The 17,457-nt window shown below is 41.5% G+C and overlaps 1 protein-coding gene across 6 annotated transcripts in view, besides 3 other annotated features; it reads left to right on the top strand.

Moving 5' to 3' along the window:
• LHFPL2 (LHFPL tetraspan subfamily member 2) overlaps nt 1–17,457 on the top strand; it is a 163,543-nt gene that overhangs the window by 35,791 nt on the left and 110,295 nt on the right. Inside the window, exon 3 of one of the 6 annotated variants that reach the window (XM_024454321.2) lies at nt 8,213–8,267. The exons of the other annotated variants lie outside the window; for them this stretch is intronic. The gene's annotated coding sequence lies outside the window, so the exon portion shown is untranslated. The remainder of the gene's footprint in view (nt 1–8,212; nt 8,268–17,457) is intronic. 6 annotated transcript variants of the gene reach the window in all.
• Nucleotides 15,612–15,816: a silencer, noted in NCBI's record as "fragment chr5:77892989-77893193 (GRCh37/hg19 assembly coordinates)". NCBI's record gives its function as "represses an EF-1alpha promoter that drives an FKBP-Casp9 reporter gene in an ReSE screen in K562 erythroleukemia cells {active_cell/tissue: K562}" and the evidence as "EXISTENCE:reporter gene assay evidence [ECO:0000049][PMID:32094911]".
• Nucleotides 15,612–15,956: a biological region, named in NCBI's record as "Sharpr-MPRA regulatory region 10457".
• Nucleotides 15,662–15,956: an enhancer, noted in NCBI's record as "tiled region #10457; HepG2 Activating DNase matched - State 5:Enh, and K562 Activating non-DNase unmatched - State 6:EnhF". NCBI's record gives its function as "activates a minimal TATA promoter and a strong SV40 promoter by Sharpr-MPRA in HepG2 cells, with weaker activity in K562 cells {active_cell/tissue: HepG2 | K562}" and the evidence as "EXISTENCE:reporter gene assay evidence [ECO:0000049][PMID:27701403]".

The raw sequence follows: 17,457 nt of genomic DNA, 5'->3' as shown, positions 1-17,457 counted from the left end.
ATCACCAGCTATGCACGTGGAAGAGCTGGGTGGGGAGGTGAGGCTGGATGAATCTCTACCTTCAAACTATTAGGGGACCATCATTAATGCATTATGAAGCTTGGCTCAGCCTTAATTCATTAGGAAATCACTGTCTCCCCAGCTCATTTGGTGCCAGCCTTAAGGGCACTTTAAATGCAGGATTAAGTGCTGCTGTAAAAGGGAGTCCAGCTCTTTGAAGACTGCGCCTGGCACCAGGCCTCTGGGTTGTCGCTGTTTACTGGAGCTGGTTTCATAGAAGTGATTCTGGGGATTGGGGCAAGGAAAGGCAGCCTTTATGTAGAGGAAGTGTGCCATGGGTAGGTAGTTGACTGCTTATTAGTTTACTCTTTCAGCCAAATTATTTTTGTTGCTGTTAAAAATTAGTTTTAATAATTGCTTTTGGATCAAGCTGTTGAATAACTGAGCCAAGTTTTCATGCCCAATGAACTTTTATAGCAAACTCTCCTCTCTTTATGGGGTTATTTTGAGGATGATATTTGTAAAGCACTTTAAGTGCCTAGGGAAGGCTGTGGATAAATAGTAGTCATATTTTCAGAGTTCTGGAGGAATGACTATACAATGGCATTCCAGTTCTGAAAGATGCAAATCCTACTCTGCTACTACTGATTTGTTTTAATGGCTATTTTCCTATTTTTAATTTTTAAAGGGAAATTTATGCAAAGATCAGGATGATTTTTATATTTTCATTAAAATTTTCAACTAGATTAAAAAACCCTCTTTAATCGGATGGGAGAAGTCTTCACAAAGTCAGTTTGAATAGTAAGTAGGAGATAGTAGGAAAAATGCTCCATTGTCAGCCAACAGCTAACCAAATTAATGTGTAATGGAATGTCATAATCCTTTTCTATAAAGTAATATTTTGTTTCTCTCTTCCTATTCTCTTTTGTCTTTTGGGAGAAGAAACAAATAAATAAAAATAGTTGTTTCGTTGTTTCGGAGAGAAATACACTGTCTAGAAAGGACTGTCTTAAAATGCACTGTGGCTTTTTAACTCATGAAGCTCCTACCATGTGTGCATGCGTTCTCAGAACTCGTCTGTATCACATGTGGGAAAATGGAATTAGAAAGACTTCTCCCTTTGTGGCCTCCGTATATTCTGAGTTTTAACGATAGATTTTCTGTAAAAAAAGTTTGTGCTCCTACATGATCTGCGATACACACAGCAGCTTTCAGAATTCTTAAAAATGTAAATTAGGTGGCAAATTAGACCACTTTCACTCCCTTGCTTAAAATCTTCAGTCTTCTCCTGTCACAGGTAGGATAAAATCCACATTCCTCCCAGACTCCCTAGGCTGGTGTCATCTGGTCCTGCCTGCTTCACCATCCCCCTTAGTAATTGCCTCTGGGCTCCTTCTGCCCCAGCCCTGAAGCCTTTCTGATCCTCAGCCCTCAGGCTTCTCCGGAGGGACTTCCCAGTCTTTTTCCCCAGGATTCTGGCGGGACTTCCTGGGGCCAGGGGCTGAGCTCAGCATCCTCTCCTTAAGCTCTGGAATGTGAATTACTGAGCAGGGAGCCCAGAAACCTCATAGGCCAGGGTCAGAAGATGACACTGAGCCCTGCTGGAGTGCAGAAGCTGACAATGGACAGAGTTCAAAGCCCAGGTGGAGTTCTCCTTTGAGAGCCTTTCTCCTGCCCCTCAGCCCACACTGGTCTTGCCCTGCCCTGGACTGGCCCTGCAGTTGGGCCACAGTTCACAGCAGCCTGTGCTCTGCCTGGGGACGCGTGCTGCACTGAGCTCAGCCTGCTGTCAGCTCTCCCACAGCAGGGCAAGGACTCTTAGCCCTTGCTTAGTGGACACTTATATCATGTTTTGTTTGGTTTTAAAGACCAAACAAAATTGTCTTAGAAGAAGAATTTATACCTCCTTTGTCTGTCTGCTTATAGCAGTTAATGAACTTTTTTTTTCCCTTCTCAGTAACAAAGCAGTGAAAGCCTAACTGAATCAGAGCTGCACCACTCCCTGTGCCTGTGGCTCCTTGAGGAGGACACTTAAATGTTGTGTTAATGCCCGTGCAATGCTTTTTTTTTTTTGCTTATGGTCTAATGACATCTCCTCTTTGCCACATGATATGTGTCAGAATATTGGTTCAGTCCATGCATGTGGCCATTTTTCAAATGGATCAGCAATGATTCAGTAATGCACAGGAGAGGAAGGTGGAGGGTGTGGGAGGGAGGGAGCAAGCGTGGGAGGGAGAGGGGACAGCAACAGCTAGTGTAACTCTTCTTAGCTGCTTTCATTGTTAGAGGCTGGATTTTGAGGAGAGTCTGTACCAGCGGGACTACTGATGGCACACTTTTCCCTGGAGTTTGTTTGGATTCGTAGGCTTTTTGCTTCATATCGTATGTGCTGGTGTCCTGGGTTTTTGAAGCCCATGAAGAGGGCCTTCTGGCCTCTCCTGCTCACCAGGCCATCCTCCCATGCACACCACAGTTCTGGGTCCCCAGCAGGCCCTTGGCTTCCGAGTGGAATCTTGCCAGTATTTGGCTTACTCATCTCCATGGACCGAGTCTCTCCTGGGGGCCCAGTGGCTCCATCTATGGAAAAGTGGAACAAGCCCAAGGCATCTGGATCTTTTCTCTTCTCCCAGACCTTTTCGTGAAGACGTTTCCGTTTAGTAGCCCTTTCCTTCTCAGACAGGAACATGTGCTGAATGCAGAAGGTCCAGCTGGCGGTTCCTGAATGAGGACCCTGCATTCCTGCCTGCCCTTGGTGGGACCCAGAGTCCACCCAAGGGCTCTTTTCCTACAGTGTGGCGTGGGTGTCAGCATTGCTGACTGGGAGGCTGGTGGTCTGCCTGGGGTGGGGTGACTTGAGTGGGGTCTGACTGGAGCTAGCTATGCCCAGCTCATCTCCTGGCAGGCTAGGTAAGTGACTCTAGTCCCCTGGCAGGCTAGGTAGGTGACTCTGATCCCCCGGCAGGTTTAGGTAGGTGATTCCCATTAATGCTGGGAGCTGCTGCCCAGGGCAGGAGTTTCAGCAGCCTGAAGGTCAGGCTGTTTCCATTCGGAGCTTCTGATGTATGACAGAGAATTTTCATCCTATAAATAAAGGATGGCTATTATTCTGTCCACAAAAAGAATTTTTTTTTTTTTTTAGGTACACCAATGACTTTTTTTCTTTCAAAATAAAAGGAGCTTAATTTTCTGGTTTCTTTTCTGTCCAAAAGAGAAAGTGCTTATTGTAGAAAATTCAAAGAATAGGTAAAAGTACAAGTAATTGCAAACCATGTCAAATACCCATTTTCTAGAAATTGTTGTTGCCCATATTTTGATGATCATCATGTACATATACACCCTCAGAACCTTAGGTATGAGATCATATCAGAAAACACTGTTTTCTTTTCTTCACAATGGATTGTGGTAGTCTTTATGTGGCATGAGTTTAGAGACACCTCATTTTTAATATCTGAAGAATATTCCATTGTATAGATGTGCTGTAATTTACTTAAGCAAGCTCTCTCTCTTTTTTTTTTTTTTTTTTTTTTTTTTGAGACTGAGTCTCGCTCTGTTTCCCAGGCTAAAGTGCAGTGGCTCGATCTCGGCTCACCTTAACCTCTGCCTCCCGGGTTCCAGTGATTCTCCTGCCTCAGCCTCCCAAATAGCTGGGATTACAGGCCTGTGCCACCACACCCAGCTAATTTTTGTATTTTTAGTAGGGACAGGGTTTCACCATGTTGGGCAGGCTGGTCTAGAACTCCTGACCTCAGGTGATCTGCCCAAACTGTTGGGATTATAGGCATGAACCACTGTACCTGGCCACAATCTCTTATAGATGGATTTTTCTCCAGTTGTGAATAATGCTCCATTAAACATCTTTGTACTACACTTGTCTAATTATATGATAGTAAGTGGATTAAAACTCCTGAGTCAGAGTATAAACATTTTGGATATTCATGCAGGTTGACAAACTCTTGCAGAAAGGTCATGCCATTTTTTATTATCCCATAAAGAAGGAAAGTCTCTTGCTGACTTTAATGTTATTCTCTAATGTATTTTTTTTTTTTTTTTGAGATGGAGTCTTGCTCTGTCGCCTAGGCTGGAGTGCAGTGGCTCAGTCTTGGCTCACTGCAAGCTCCACCTCCCGGGTTCATGCTATTCTCCTGCTTCAGCCTCCCGAGTAGCTGGGACCACAGGCGCCCGCCACCGCGCCCGGCTAATTTTTTGTATTTTTTGTAGAGATGGGGTTTCACCATGTTAGCCAGGATGGTCTTGAACTCCTGACCTCATGATCCACCTCCCTCGGCCTCCCAAAGTGCTGGGATTACAGGCGTGAGCCACCGTGCCCAGCCTCTCTAATGTATTTTAAGTCACTAAATACCTGAGAGTTTTTAGGCACTTTTTTTTTTTTTTTGCAAATAGAATTTAGATCGCTAATTAGGGAGAAGTTTAATGATGAATGTTGAAGCTTCAGTAGTTAAAAACCAAAACTGTATAGCCTGATTGTATTTCCCCATATATTATTCTAGAATGCAGTTATGTCTTTGCTTGACTTGTATTTTAAATAATTGTCACATGGAGGTTGTGTAAGTAAAACAGTGCCCTTTATTAGTCTCCATTTTGGGCAATCTGTTATGTTCCATATTTTCATATTGCTCCTAAAACTTTGCTAAAGAGAGCTTTTGTCAGTGAAAGTAGCAAATACTGTTTTGTAATTTGATAAGCATTTTAAAAAATAATTCTTATTTGAAGGTATAATCTTCAGGTGAGTATTCTGGCATTCCTGCTAAGGAAGCACTGCTTTCATGACCATCTCTGGTTCCTTTTAGAATGTTTTCTCTGCTCCTTTCAGTCTGTGAGGGTTTTCCCAGATCCATGTGATTAATGACCTGTTGTTCCACCTCTTTGAACTTTATCTCCTTGATCTCATTTGTCCATCCCCTGGTGTCACCTGAAACTTTTTACCAGTTCATTGTTTAATTGCTTATCTTTCTTTTACACTTTCTTGAGTTCATCTAATGGTAAGGATATCACATATCTTCTTAAAAAGCTTTTTAGTGTGTGTTCTTTTACTGCCTAGAGTGATTTCATATTTAACATTCACTTTGTGCTCCCTTTGGGCATTACATAGATCTACCAAAGATAGACTTTGCATGTTCAGACTATTGCAACAACAAGCAAGATGCATAGGTACCTTCGGCTTAGGGGAAAAAAAACCTACCACTTTTCTTTGTAAACTTACTTGGAAATTGAAGCCGTATTTGAAAGATTTTTCAGTGTCTTGTCTTATCAGGTAAAGCCTTCTAGAGGAGATGGACTTTTCATGCTGACTTTTGATTGGAAAGATTGGGGTCAGTAACTACAGGGAAGAGCCAGCTAGTGAAGAGGCTAGTCTAGGATAAAACAGGAATGAGAGGTGGAACCAACTGGATGGGGGTAACTAAGATGCACAAAAAAGACATTTAGGAGGAGGTTCTCAGAGGAAATATGGCAAATTTTGTTTGTAATTAGATCATAACTTATTTTTAAATGTCTTTTATTCATGTCAGAATGGCGAAATACAAACCTATGGTAGAAGATACACTACATTGGCTGGGCGTGGTGGCTCATGCCTGTAATCCCAGCACTTTGGGAGGCCGAAGGGGGTGGATCACTTGAGGTCAGGAGTTCAAGACCAGCCTGGCCAACATGGTGAAACCCCGTCTCTACTAAGAATACAAAAATTAGCCGGAGGTGGTGGCGGGTGCCTGTAATCCCAGCTACTTGGGAGGCTGAGGCAGGAGAATTGCTTGAACCTGGGAGGCAGAGAGGTTGCAGTGAGCTGAGATCATGCCATTACACTCCAGCCTGGGCAACAGGAGGGAAACTCCATGTGAAAAATAAAAAAAGAAGATACACTACATCTTGGGATGTGATTAGTAAAAGAGACAGACTGTGATGGACCATGTTGGGGATGTTGTCTTGTTACACCCAGCACTTAGGCTGCAAGGCAAATCAGAATGCCAGGGACTTGCAAGGGGGGATGGCTTGCCTGTGTATGGCTCATGCCTGTAATCCTAGTACTTTGGGAGGCCAAGGCGGGTGGATCACTTGAGGTCAGGAGTTCAAGACCAGCCTGGCCAACATGGTGAAACCCCGTCTCTACTAAAAATATTTAAAAAGTAGCTGAGCGTGGTGGTTGGCACATGTAATCCCAGCTACTTGTGAGGCTGAGGCAGGAGAATTGCTTGAACCTGGGAGGTGGAGGTTGCAGTGAACCAAGATCACGCCATTGCACTCCAGCCTGGGCGACAGAGCAAGACTGTCAAAAAAATAAAACAAATACATTCTTGCTCAGCTGTCCAGCCAAATGCCAGGGTTTCTGGCTGGAGTTGGCTACTATGTGATAATTCACATTTCACCCCCGCCCACCCTCGGCAAACAGCTGGATTTCCCCAGAGACTGTCTGATCATGGAGAGTTGTATGGAAATGACCCTTTGAGGACACTAAGGTACTGTTTAATAAACTGTTCCATTAGTGCCTTTTAATAACTCTCAGTCTTAAGTGGTATTTAATTACCGACTTTTTGAGCCACTAGGGAACTGTTTAGTAATTACTACTTCATTGCCATTTAATAAATTTCTGTCTTGTACATTAAATAGCACTGAGCACAGTAACTCACTGCCTAATCCCTGGTGGCATAAAAAAGTGAAGGCTGCTTCTAGAGATGCTCATCTGAAACCAGATGGTCGCTTAGGCATTGGGAAAGTAAAGGTGCAATACAAAATTTCAAATATAGAGGCCCTAGACTTTTGGATTTCATGGACCAGTTTTTAAAAAACAAATGTTTAGGGACTGGCATAAGGTTATTTTGTTAAGTTTTGTTCCCCTCAAGAAACCTGACCCAGGAGCACGTTGCCTAAGGCAGAGTGGGCACTTGGTGAGTATCAGTTGAATCAAATTGAGCTCTGCATAGGAGCACAGAATTTTTGTAGGTGACACCTGTTTAATTTTGTTATTGTTTCATCAGTCCTCATATTAGAGAAGTTAATTTTGTAAAATGTGTTATTGAGTGTGGCTGACGAAAGCAATTTCACTTTATATGGGGATCGTGAGGGTTAAATAGCATGTGTGTGAAAGCTTTGGAAGAACCTCACACCAGATTGTAAATGTAAGATGATTAATATTGTCTGCTGACAGTACTATGAAGAGATGATTCATCTTTGGATTATATTAAATTCTGGGGAATTTTAAGATGGAGAGATGATTAATCCAAAAATAATCTGCAGGTTGTTGTGTCTTCATGCTTGAGTGAAATTTTGTGATAGACCAAAGGAGAAAGTGGCTCAGTAAGAATTATTTAATTAAAATTGACACTTTAAGGTAGAAGTGTAAAGGTACTGCCTTATCTTTGATTTCACTTATCTTAGAAGCCTATGTTGTAAGGTGACCTGTGTACATTCTATCCAGTTCAAGGTGGTAACATGGTCATGGGGTTGGTAATAATGACATAAAAGACCCTAAAAATCCTGATGTGTATTTTGAAAGAGGCTGGAAGGGGTGATTGTCAGCCTATGGTGGCACAGAGGAGTCGCCAATGAAACAGATCCCCTGATGCCCCTGTCAGGGCCATGTATTTCCCAGACACAAGTCACCCTGCTCAGAGTCCAGGCAGTGCATCAGTGCTGGTCTTGATCCTGATGCCCACCAGCTTTTGAAGTTGCGTTGATTGCCTGGGTGTCCTATAGAATGTCTGATTTTAGCCACTCAAAGGAGGTAACAATTAATTGTAACACTTTTCATTAAAATGGCCTCCTTAATAATGTTTGAAATATAACGAAAACCCAAGCCAAGCCATGGCTTCTGCACTTGGCTTTCGAAGCCCAGTAACACACACTCAGTCTGCAGTGGGGCTGGACAGCCTTTTCTTATGGGAAGTAATGGAAATCTCCTGTCATATTTTCTGATAAAACAATTTTGAAAGATGAGTTTTTCAGGCACATTATGTTGTACAGGTTCATTCAGCAAATCACTAAAGTGTGAAACTGTGCAAATACATTGCCCAGACATAAAGTTAAGTACATTCTGTTAGAAAATTCACCACGTCTTTAATCCTAGTGCTTTAGTGCTGTGGTTTAAGTAGAAGGGATTTAGAGAGTTCATAAATGCAGGGAATAGAATAAACAAAAGGATTAAAGGAATGTTTTCTGAGCAGCACTGATGTAGAACTTTGTACCTTGTTACTTTCCCCAGAGATACTGTCAACTTTATTTTAAAGCCAGCCGTCAAGAAGCTACAGTGCAGACAGGTACAGTAATAACAAAAATTAAGAAAATGAATTTCAGTTATCAGGGTTTGCATGTAGTGTTGTCATGAATACAAGTTTCTTGGATCACATAGCAATCTATTATTATTCTCTGTTTGAACTTTTCATACAGTTTGGGCTTCTTTATTAGTTTCACAACTAGAAAAAAGAGACTATAGCAGATTGAATTCTCATTTACATTTCTGATTTTGGTTCTTCTTTTTTTGTTTTTTGAGACGGGATCTTGCTCTGTCACCCAGGCTGGAGCACAGGAGTGCAGTGGCATGATCTCAGCTCGCTGCAACCTCCGCCTCCCGGGTTCAAGCCATTCTCCTGCCTCAGCCTCCCGAGTAGCTGGGATTACAGGCGCCCACCACCACGCCCAGCCAATTTTGTATTTTTAGTAGAGATGGGGTTTCGCCATGTTGGCCAGGCTGGTGTCGAACTTCTGACCTCAGGTGATCCGCCTGCCTCGGCCTCCCAAAGTGCTGGGATTACAGGCATGAGCCACCATGCCCGGCCTGACTTTGCTTCTGATATTATATCTATGTGGGACCATTTTATGGTTTTAAGTGGTGGGTATATAGTATTGCTTTAAAATATTTAGTGTTATTATAATTTTACATTCCATGTATCTGCACTAACTGCATTCTACTCATTTTAAATTAATTAATTTTTTAGAGATAGGATCTTGCTATGTTGCCCAGGCAGGTAGGGTCTTGCCGTGTTGCCCAGGCTGGCCTCAAACTCCTGGCTTCAAGCAATCCTTCTGCCTCAGCCTCCCAAAATGTTGGGATTACAGATGTAAGCCACTGCACCTGGCCCACATTCTGCTTCATTTTGAATAGCTCATTTAGTATTTCATCATTGTATGTGTCATAGTGTACTTAGCTAACCCCAAATTAGGGTATTTGAGGTCTTTCCAGTTTGAAGCTGGCATAAATAATGCTGCAAACATCTGTGTGTTTTTTTAAAAATTTTTTTAACTGAAAAAAATTTTTTAGTAGAATAGGGTCTTGCTTGTTTCCCAAGCTGGTCTTGAACTCTTGGGCTCAAGCCATCCTCTCATCTCAGCCTCTCAAAGTGCTGGGAATATAGGCATGGGCCACCATGCCCGGCCAGCAAACATCTTTAAGTAGATTGCTTTTCCCCCTCTCTTGGGGTCCATTCCTGCGGATATATTTCTCCAAAGAGAAGTTTCTGGTAAAGGGTATGGACTCATTCGTAGCTCTCATTCCATGTTGCTAGTTCCCATTTGTTTCAAGAGCCCTCTGAGGACATATAATGAGAAAGAACAAAACAACTGGAAGGAAAAAAGAATCGACTTGGAGGTTTAAACCCTTTTTACTGATGGGGGATAACAGTTTTCAGATATCTGAATTGAGACTTTGCTTGCTGTAGGCTAATCAATAAATGAGAAAATTCAGTGTAGTGGTTAAGAGCACAGGTTGTGACATCCAAGTCAGTTACTTAACCCTGCGGAGCCTCAGTTTCCATCTTGCTAAAATGCATATAATACCTACCTCGGCTAGGTATGGTGGCTCATGCCTGTAATCCCAGCACTTTGGGAGGCCGAGGCAGGTGGATCACGAGGTCAGCAGATCGAGACCATCCTGGCCAACATGGTGAAACCCCGTTTCAGCTAAAAAAAATACAAAAATTAGCTGGGTGTGGTGGCACGCGCCTGTAGTCCCAGCTATTCAGGAGGCTGAGGCAGGAGAATGGCTTGAACCCAGGAGGCGAAGGTTGCAGTGAGCTGAGATCGCACCACTGCACTCTAGCCTGGTGACAGAGCAAGACTCCGTCTCAAACAAAACAAAACAAAACAAAACAAAACAAAACCCTACCTCATTGTGGGTGGTAGTAAGGTTTAAATAAGATAATTGCTATGAAGTGATTAATTGCATGGGCCCGGCTCATAAGGCTCAATAAATGAGAGCTGCCATGATTGGTTCTGACCAGGGCAAGTGGTGTAGACCTCTGGGCTGGGTTGCAGGCAGCATTGGCAGGTTGTTTCCCCAAGGCCTTGGGCTCTAGGTGTCCTGTTGGGTGTATTCACTGAATTCCAGAACTTATCTGCCCAGGATAAGTTCTCAGATTTCTATACGAATTGATGTTGATGGTGAAGGGTCCCTGTGAGTCAGACTCACTCCCCTATGGGAGGTGTTTGTTCTTAAAGAACAAACAAATGAAGACTAAATCTAAATCAATCATGTCTATGTGGTAACCTTATACCATTCTTTTCTGGTGCCATACTTTTTTGTTCGGGTGAAAGAATGGAAAATTTGAGAAGGATATGTTTCTTTCAATCCTGTATTCCTTAGCTTAATAAAATGCCTTTAGTGAAGCTGGTGGATAAGAATTTTAAGTTGTTTCGGTTTTGCAAATACTGCATCTTTCATGTTTCTGTGACATTAACAGAAATCTTTCTATTTTACAAACAGCTAATTTCAAAAAGTCAAAGAAGTTGTCAACATCATTGGGCCTTATTTTTTTTTCTTTTTTCCTTTCTTCATTGCCATCATCATCTCCTTTAACCTTGTGTACACTTTCAGGTTAATGATTTGTCATTCTCTCTCCAGAGTATACATCAGATAAGTATACTCTGCCTTTTCTGGAAATTTCAGTGGAACTTCTTTTCAAAGTAGTACCATATTTCATGAGTTTTTTTGAGAGGAGTAGGGGGAAGTCTAAAGTTGTGTCTGCGTATTTTTTCCACATTAATACAGTTTTTTAAAAGTCTTTAATTTTTTTATTTTAAGGGAAACTTCCCCACACCCATTGACTCCTTCCTACTGACAGCAGCAGTATTTATGATTGTGGAGCAGTGTTTAACTAGGGATGTGGTGACCACAGCTGTGTTTCCAGTGCAGGATGAACACAGGCTCTGAGGGAAATGACTTTCCCATGAAGAGACTGAAAGTTAGAGCAGGAGCATTCCCCCCAGCCTCTCCACCCTCCAAGTCCTCTGGCTTCTCTTCTTTCTGCAGCACGTTTGCAGATGGCCTAATGAGAATGCAGCCAAGGTAGAGGATTTTATCCTGTGTTCAGCCCACCCTAGAGACAGTGCGTGAGAAGCTGGAATGATTTCTTTCCCTTCTAGTGCTGTTGAATTCACTGGTGGTATAAATTTGCTACACAGACATGGTTTATAGTCTTATTAGATTTACTCGTTATTAGTTTGTTCTTAAAGAATAAAAACAGTTCCTTTTGGGGGAGGCTGCCTAACTTACAGGGACCCTTCACCATCAATATTAATTACATACAAACATGAGAATAATTCACATTGCTAGTGAGAACTTCCCCTGGACAGAGGAATTCAGTGAGTGGGCCATGTCTGTACATTCTTGGTACTGTCTGCTCTGGGACCTGCCTTCTCAACTGTGAACATGGCTGAATCATCTCAGCTTAGTAAATCTCAAGGCACACCAAATCATCCCTTCGAGAAAAGATGTTTGTTCTGTTACTTTATCCTCACAGAGAAGTCAAGGGTCCAAATATTTATCATCCTCAGTGACACCTCATTTCTCCTTTCATCACTAGGCCAAATGGTAGGAATTGTTCTACTTTATTGTGTTTTCACAGTTTTTCCTCTGAGGCTTCCCTGCCTGTTGTTACTTGATCTTTTGGACTTGAGTACCCCCAGGGCCTGCAGGGTCACTCTGATGTGGGGTTGGAGCAAATGGCACACATGCTGGTCAAGTGTTGGGCAGATTTAAATCCGATTTTCTTTTACTTTCTAGTGTTTTTGGAGTTTCAGTTAACTTTTTTTTAAACAGCTAATTTGAGTTCAGACACAGGCCAAAATAAAACATTGTCCTGGTCATCTGCTATTTATGTTCCATTGTGGAAAGTGTTTTCTCAGCCAGAACCTTTGACTTTAGTTACCAACTTCCTTCATACTATTTTGTTAGTAGTATCTCTCTGAGGACGTTAAGTATATTGTCTGCTTGTCATTTATTTCTCTGAAAGCTTTATTTATTTATTTTGAGACGGAGTTTCGCTCTTGTTGCCCAGGCTGCAGTGCAATGGCATGATCTTGGCTCACCGCAGCCTCCACCTCCCGGGTTCAAGTGATTCTCCTGTCTCAACCTCCTGAGTAGCTGGGATTACAGGGATGTGCCACCATGCCTGGCTAATTTTGTATTTTTAGTAGAGACAGGGTTTCTCCATGTTGGTCAGGCTGGTCTTGAACTCCTGACCTCAGGTTATCCACCTGCCTCAGCCTCCCAAAGTGCTGGGATTACAGGTGTGAGCCACTGCACATGGCCTCTTGCTGAAAGTTTTATGATTTGATATTTGAAACTCAGAAAGTGGAGGAATTGTCTTTTGAGCCAGGCTGTAATTTTAATTTTTTTTTTAATCACCTGTAACCCCAAACTGAAGAGCTTACTGATAAACTCTTACTTTGAAACTTTGGTGTGGCCATCTATGGGGAGAATAACATGAAATAACAGAGCTTTTGTTAGAATTGGTATCTAGTTTGCTCGCTTGACAACAATATATTTGTAAATTTTTTACTTGAAAGGCTTATCTTGAAGAACCTCATCCTGAAATTTTTAGAACTATTCAGGAACTTAGTAGGTGGAATGCTATCAACTTTAGTCTTTCAAAATAATTTTCACCATGAATAAGCTGTTGTTTGATCTCCCCGGCTTTCTTGGGAAGTAGCTCTTTCTGAAGGGTATATTGCATGTTCATTATTAATCTGAGTGAGAGGTTAGTTGCTATAAAGTTACAAGATTTTCCTGATCACTTAAAATTTTCTTGTAGTCAGAGATTTGACTCTGAATCGTCACTTCAAAAATTTGTCTTTTCAGGTACTATGTAAAGAGAACTCCAGAAACTACCAATAATTTGGGGAATAGTTTGAAAAATCTCAGATTTTAAGGGATGGGAAGCATTCAGAATGGTTGAAGCAGTTGTACATGCTGAAGGCTGTCTCCCATTGTCTGCCATTATCTGTACTAAGTCACAACTAGACAAGATCTCATGGGCTAGGCAGCAAGCCTTTATGTTTTTTATTCACTTAATTGTTGAACTGGCAAGCAGAATCTGTGTGTAGGCATGATAGTCTCTCCATTAATAATGCTCTACCTGGTAGAAGTAGGGGCTGGGTGTAGTGGCTCATGCCTGTAATCCCAGCACTTTGGGAGGCCGAGGTGGATCACCTGAGGTCAGGAGTTCGAGGCCAGCCTGGCCAACATGGTGAAACCCTGTCTCTACTAAAAAAAAAAAAAAATACAAAAAATTAGCCGGGCATGATGGCGGACACTTGTAATCCCAGCTACTTGAGAGGCTGAGGCAGGAGAACTGCTTGAACTTGGAAGGCAGAGGTTGCAGTGAGCCGAGATTGAGCCACTGCACTCCAGCCTGGGCAACAAGAGCAAAACTCTGTCCGCAACCCCCTGTGCTCCCCGCCCAAAAAAAGGGTTTATTCTTCGCTTTCAATCTTGGGAAGTTTTTATATCTAGTAATCATGGTCGTCTCTAACAAAGTACAATTTACATTAATTGAGAAAATAAAACTTTATCCATAACACTTGGGAGGGTAGGGGAATGACGCAGTGTGATAAAACAGTACGGCTGAGCCAAGCAAGGGCTGGAGATGAGTAGGACTGGCTGGGGACATAGGCAGACCAACAAGTGCAGTGAGCGCAGCACTTCCTGTGACCAGTGCTTGAATGCTAGGGATAACTGGACTTGGATTGTCTAAGAAGGCTGTTACTGAAATTACCGTATGTTCAAATTTTGTGAAGTAAATTTGAAGGTGTTGTACAGGTATAATAATGCTTCCTATGAAAACAAGATAATATATCTATACATTTTTACTTTGGAATGCTATTTGAAATATAACATGGAAGAAAATAATTCATGCAGTTATTGACCAATCAGTGGATAGACATATTCATGATTGTCATTGTTCTCATTTGAGAATACTTTGAAAAGCAGCATTCTGGAATGCCTCTAGAATGCTTTCTCTATCAGAAGGAAACATGAGATCTATTTTGTTGGAGTGAATTAAATTTTTATGCTATAAAAAGAATCCCATTGTAAGGTTGTCTTGACCCAGAAGATCCCAAACTTTCTCTGTTCTTGGTCCTCTAAGTGTCTAGTTAATTTTTTCAAAGTAAGTACTTAACAGTTTTGTTTAAGAGTTACATACAAACCACCTAATAGGTACTTCTGTTCTAACAACTTAATGGCCATTTGAAAAAGTAGTATGTATAAATTGAAAGAAAATATGCTTTTCTTTTTATAAGATTTTAGAACTTACTTTGTTCTTGAATAACCACCTTCATTTACTAGTGAGCTGTGTTTCTTTGTTGGATACCTCATGGCTTCGCAAGCCTAGGAGTCAGATTTGACATTCCCACCTTGGTTTCCTGTTCCACATTGATGTTCAAATGTGCTTGGCTTATTATCATAGTAATTGCAAAAACCAGTTTCACAAAGAGATGATGTCATCAAAAGGAATGTAATGCATTTTGTGAATTAACTTGAACTAGTAGTTTGTATAATTCCCACACTTCACCATGCTTTCCTTAAAAAACTGTAGTATCCCTTCATGCTCCTGTGAGTTTGCTGTGGCTCTCCAGATCATCTTGACACATGGGGTGGGAACCCAGGCCTTAACCTATATTTGCTATCTATGACTAAGTCAGGGTTGCCTTAAGGGGTCTTTGTATTAACTGCATTATTCAAAAGTTGGATTCCATTGTTATTTAGTTTGTGGTTGTCAAGTTTTGGTGAGCAACAAAAACATTTCTGGCTCTGCATCCTGGAAATGGATTTATAATGTTTGGGAAGAGGGGTGTGGACCCAGGTGTCTGTATTTTCTAACAAGCTTGCCCAGTGATACCAATGCATATGAAGATACTAATTCAGTGCATATGATGCACTGAATTCCATCACAAATAGCTTGAGTTCAGGGACCATGTTGTTCTTCACTTAAATTCTTTCTTATTCCTGTAACATACCATCATGCACATTTGGTAAGTGTTCATTGAATACTACTGACTTATTTGTTACTTCATTTCTCTTTCCTCCCAACTTTTCTTTTGTTCTGTATCTTAAAAAGAAAAACAAAGAAGGAAGAATTGAAGAATTGGGTCTTAGAGTTTCCTGACTTTCCAAGCTGCTTGTTCACAGTCTTCCATAATCTGCTACGTCAGTTCACCACTCTCCCACACAAACTCTTACGTCATGTTGAATCATTCTACTCTGAGACACACTTTGGTATATTTGTCTTCATTTTTTCTTGCTTCTGTCCCACACAAAGAGACCTTTAAGTTTCCTAAGTGGAAAAAACACTAGGTTTGGGAAAAAATTAGAAAAACTTGTGTTAGTTTCCTAAGTGGAAAAAACTCTGGGGTTGGGAGAAAATTGAAAAAAACTGGAAGAGACTTAGATTATCTTTTCATACAATGCCCCCATTTTAGAGCTCCCTGTGAGGAAACACAGGGAAGAGATGTGATGTCCCAGAGGCCACACAGGAAGTGCAAAGTCTAGCTGGGATTAGACTGCTGCTCTCTTGGCGCCTCGCTCGTGGGCTGTTTCCACTGCACCCCAGCCCCACCAGACCTTACTCTCCTAGGGTGGTGCTGATCATCAGTGATTTTCCTGAGTCCCACAGGTGACTGTGATATGGAAACAATGGCTGAGAACCAGGTTTAGCAATTTGCTTTGCTTACAAAATTATTGTTTGGTGTGTTAAATATTACTTTGCAGTTTAGTCAATAGTAATTGAATTTCTTTTTATGAGGTTAAATTTTTGTTTCATATGAATGTATAGACTGTGCAACATGGGCAACCTAGATCACTTAATTTTTGTTGTTTAATGGGAAGAAGGCAAAAATTTGGGAGCAGAAGAAACTGTCAATATTATTATCAAAGGAAGATTTGTATTTTCTGGATTTTTGCTTATGACTGACAACCTACCAGCATCAGAATGTGGCTTGCTGGGCTTTGGGCAGCATTTCCTTGGTAGATTGCTTTTCTGGGTTCCTAGCTGGGTTCTGGGACCATGGCGGGGAGGTGTCCTGACTTTTGGATAATTCAGACATGGCTATAGGAGACAATTTCAGACAGGCACGTGACACTTTTATCCCTAAGCAGAGTTGGAATGAATAGGTAAGAGTCACAAAGATTGCCAAGGAAGGTCAATCATTTTTACTAGGTTTCTCTTTATCACATTAGGTATGTCTTAGAAAAGGTAAGACAGACTTATGTTAAAGGAAAACTGGGCACTGTGAGACTCATGAAAAATATTCTTGGAACTTTGTGATCCCAGGGCTATTTCATTCAAATGTTCATTGATTCGTTCATGCCTGCATGCTTTACTCTTTTATCAGAAAGGTCGTCCTCTAGGCAGCTGCTTACCTTCTGTAGGATGATGTGAGCTTGTGTTTCCTGCAAGTCCAATCTTTTGGGATGAGGACCCTTTCTCCTTGCATCTTTCTTGAGAAGTTCTTGTAACTGTATATCTTTTCAATTCAATTTCCAAAATTTGTCGGGCTTTAATTGGAGACATTATAATGATATTGTGAAGGAGGAAAATAAATGTATAATTTAGATGTCATGAGGGTTGCTTATAATTTATTATAAACTTTGTCATCTTCGGTCTAGAACAGCTGCAGAGAGGGCTGCTTTTTTTAACTGATGAAAGAATGTTTTGACTTTCATATTTCATAGAATCAAGAACAAATTTAACTTAAATCCACAAATAATATTTGTAATGCTACTTAATACCATTATTGTTCATTTAAACCTCCTTTCTCTTGGACTCCCCTTTACCAGAATGCTTATAGGAAAAAATGCTGTAAGTTTTTGAGTTTCTTTTTTGTTTTTTCCTCATCAGGAATCCCCTCCAAAGAGAGGCAATTTAAGAAAGAAGGAACAGCTGGGTGCTGCAGTGGCTCACACCTATAATTTCAGCACTTTGGGAGGCAAAGGCAGGAGGATTGCTTGAGGCCAGGAGTTCAAGACAGGCCTGGTCAACATAGTGAGACCCTGCCTTTACAAAAAAAATTTTAAAAAATTAGCCACGTGTAGTGGCTTAAGCCTGTAGTCCCAGCTGTTCCGGAGGCTGAGGCGGGAGAATTGCTTGACCCCAGGAGTTCAAGGCTGCAGTAAGCAGTGGTCACGCTGCTGCACTTACCTTGGGTGACAGAGTGAGACCCTGTCTAAAAAAA

Source organism: Homo sapiens, chromosome 5 (genome assembly GCF_000001405.40).
Source record: "Homo sapiens chromosome 5, GRCh38.p14 Primary Assembly".
NCBI lineage: Eukaryota > Metazoa > Chordata > Mammalia > Primates > Hominidae > Homo > Homo sapiens.
Note: the sequence above shows the minus strand (reverse complement) of the source record. Positions and strands in the feature narration are given on the sequence as shown.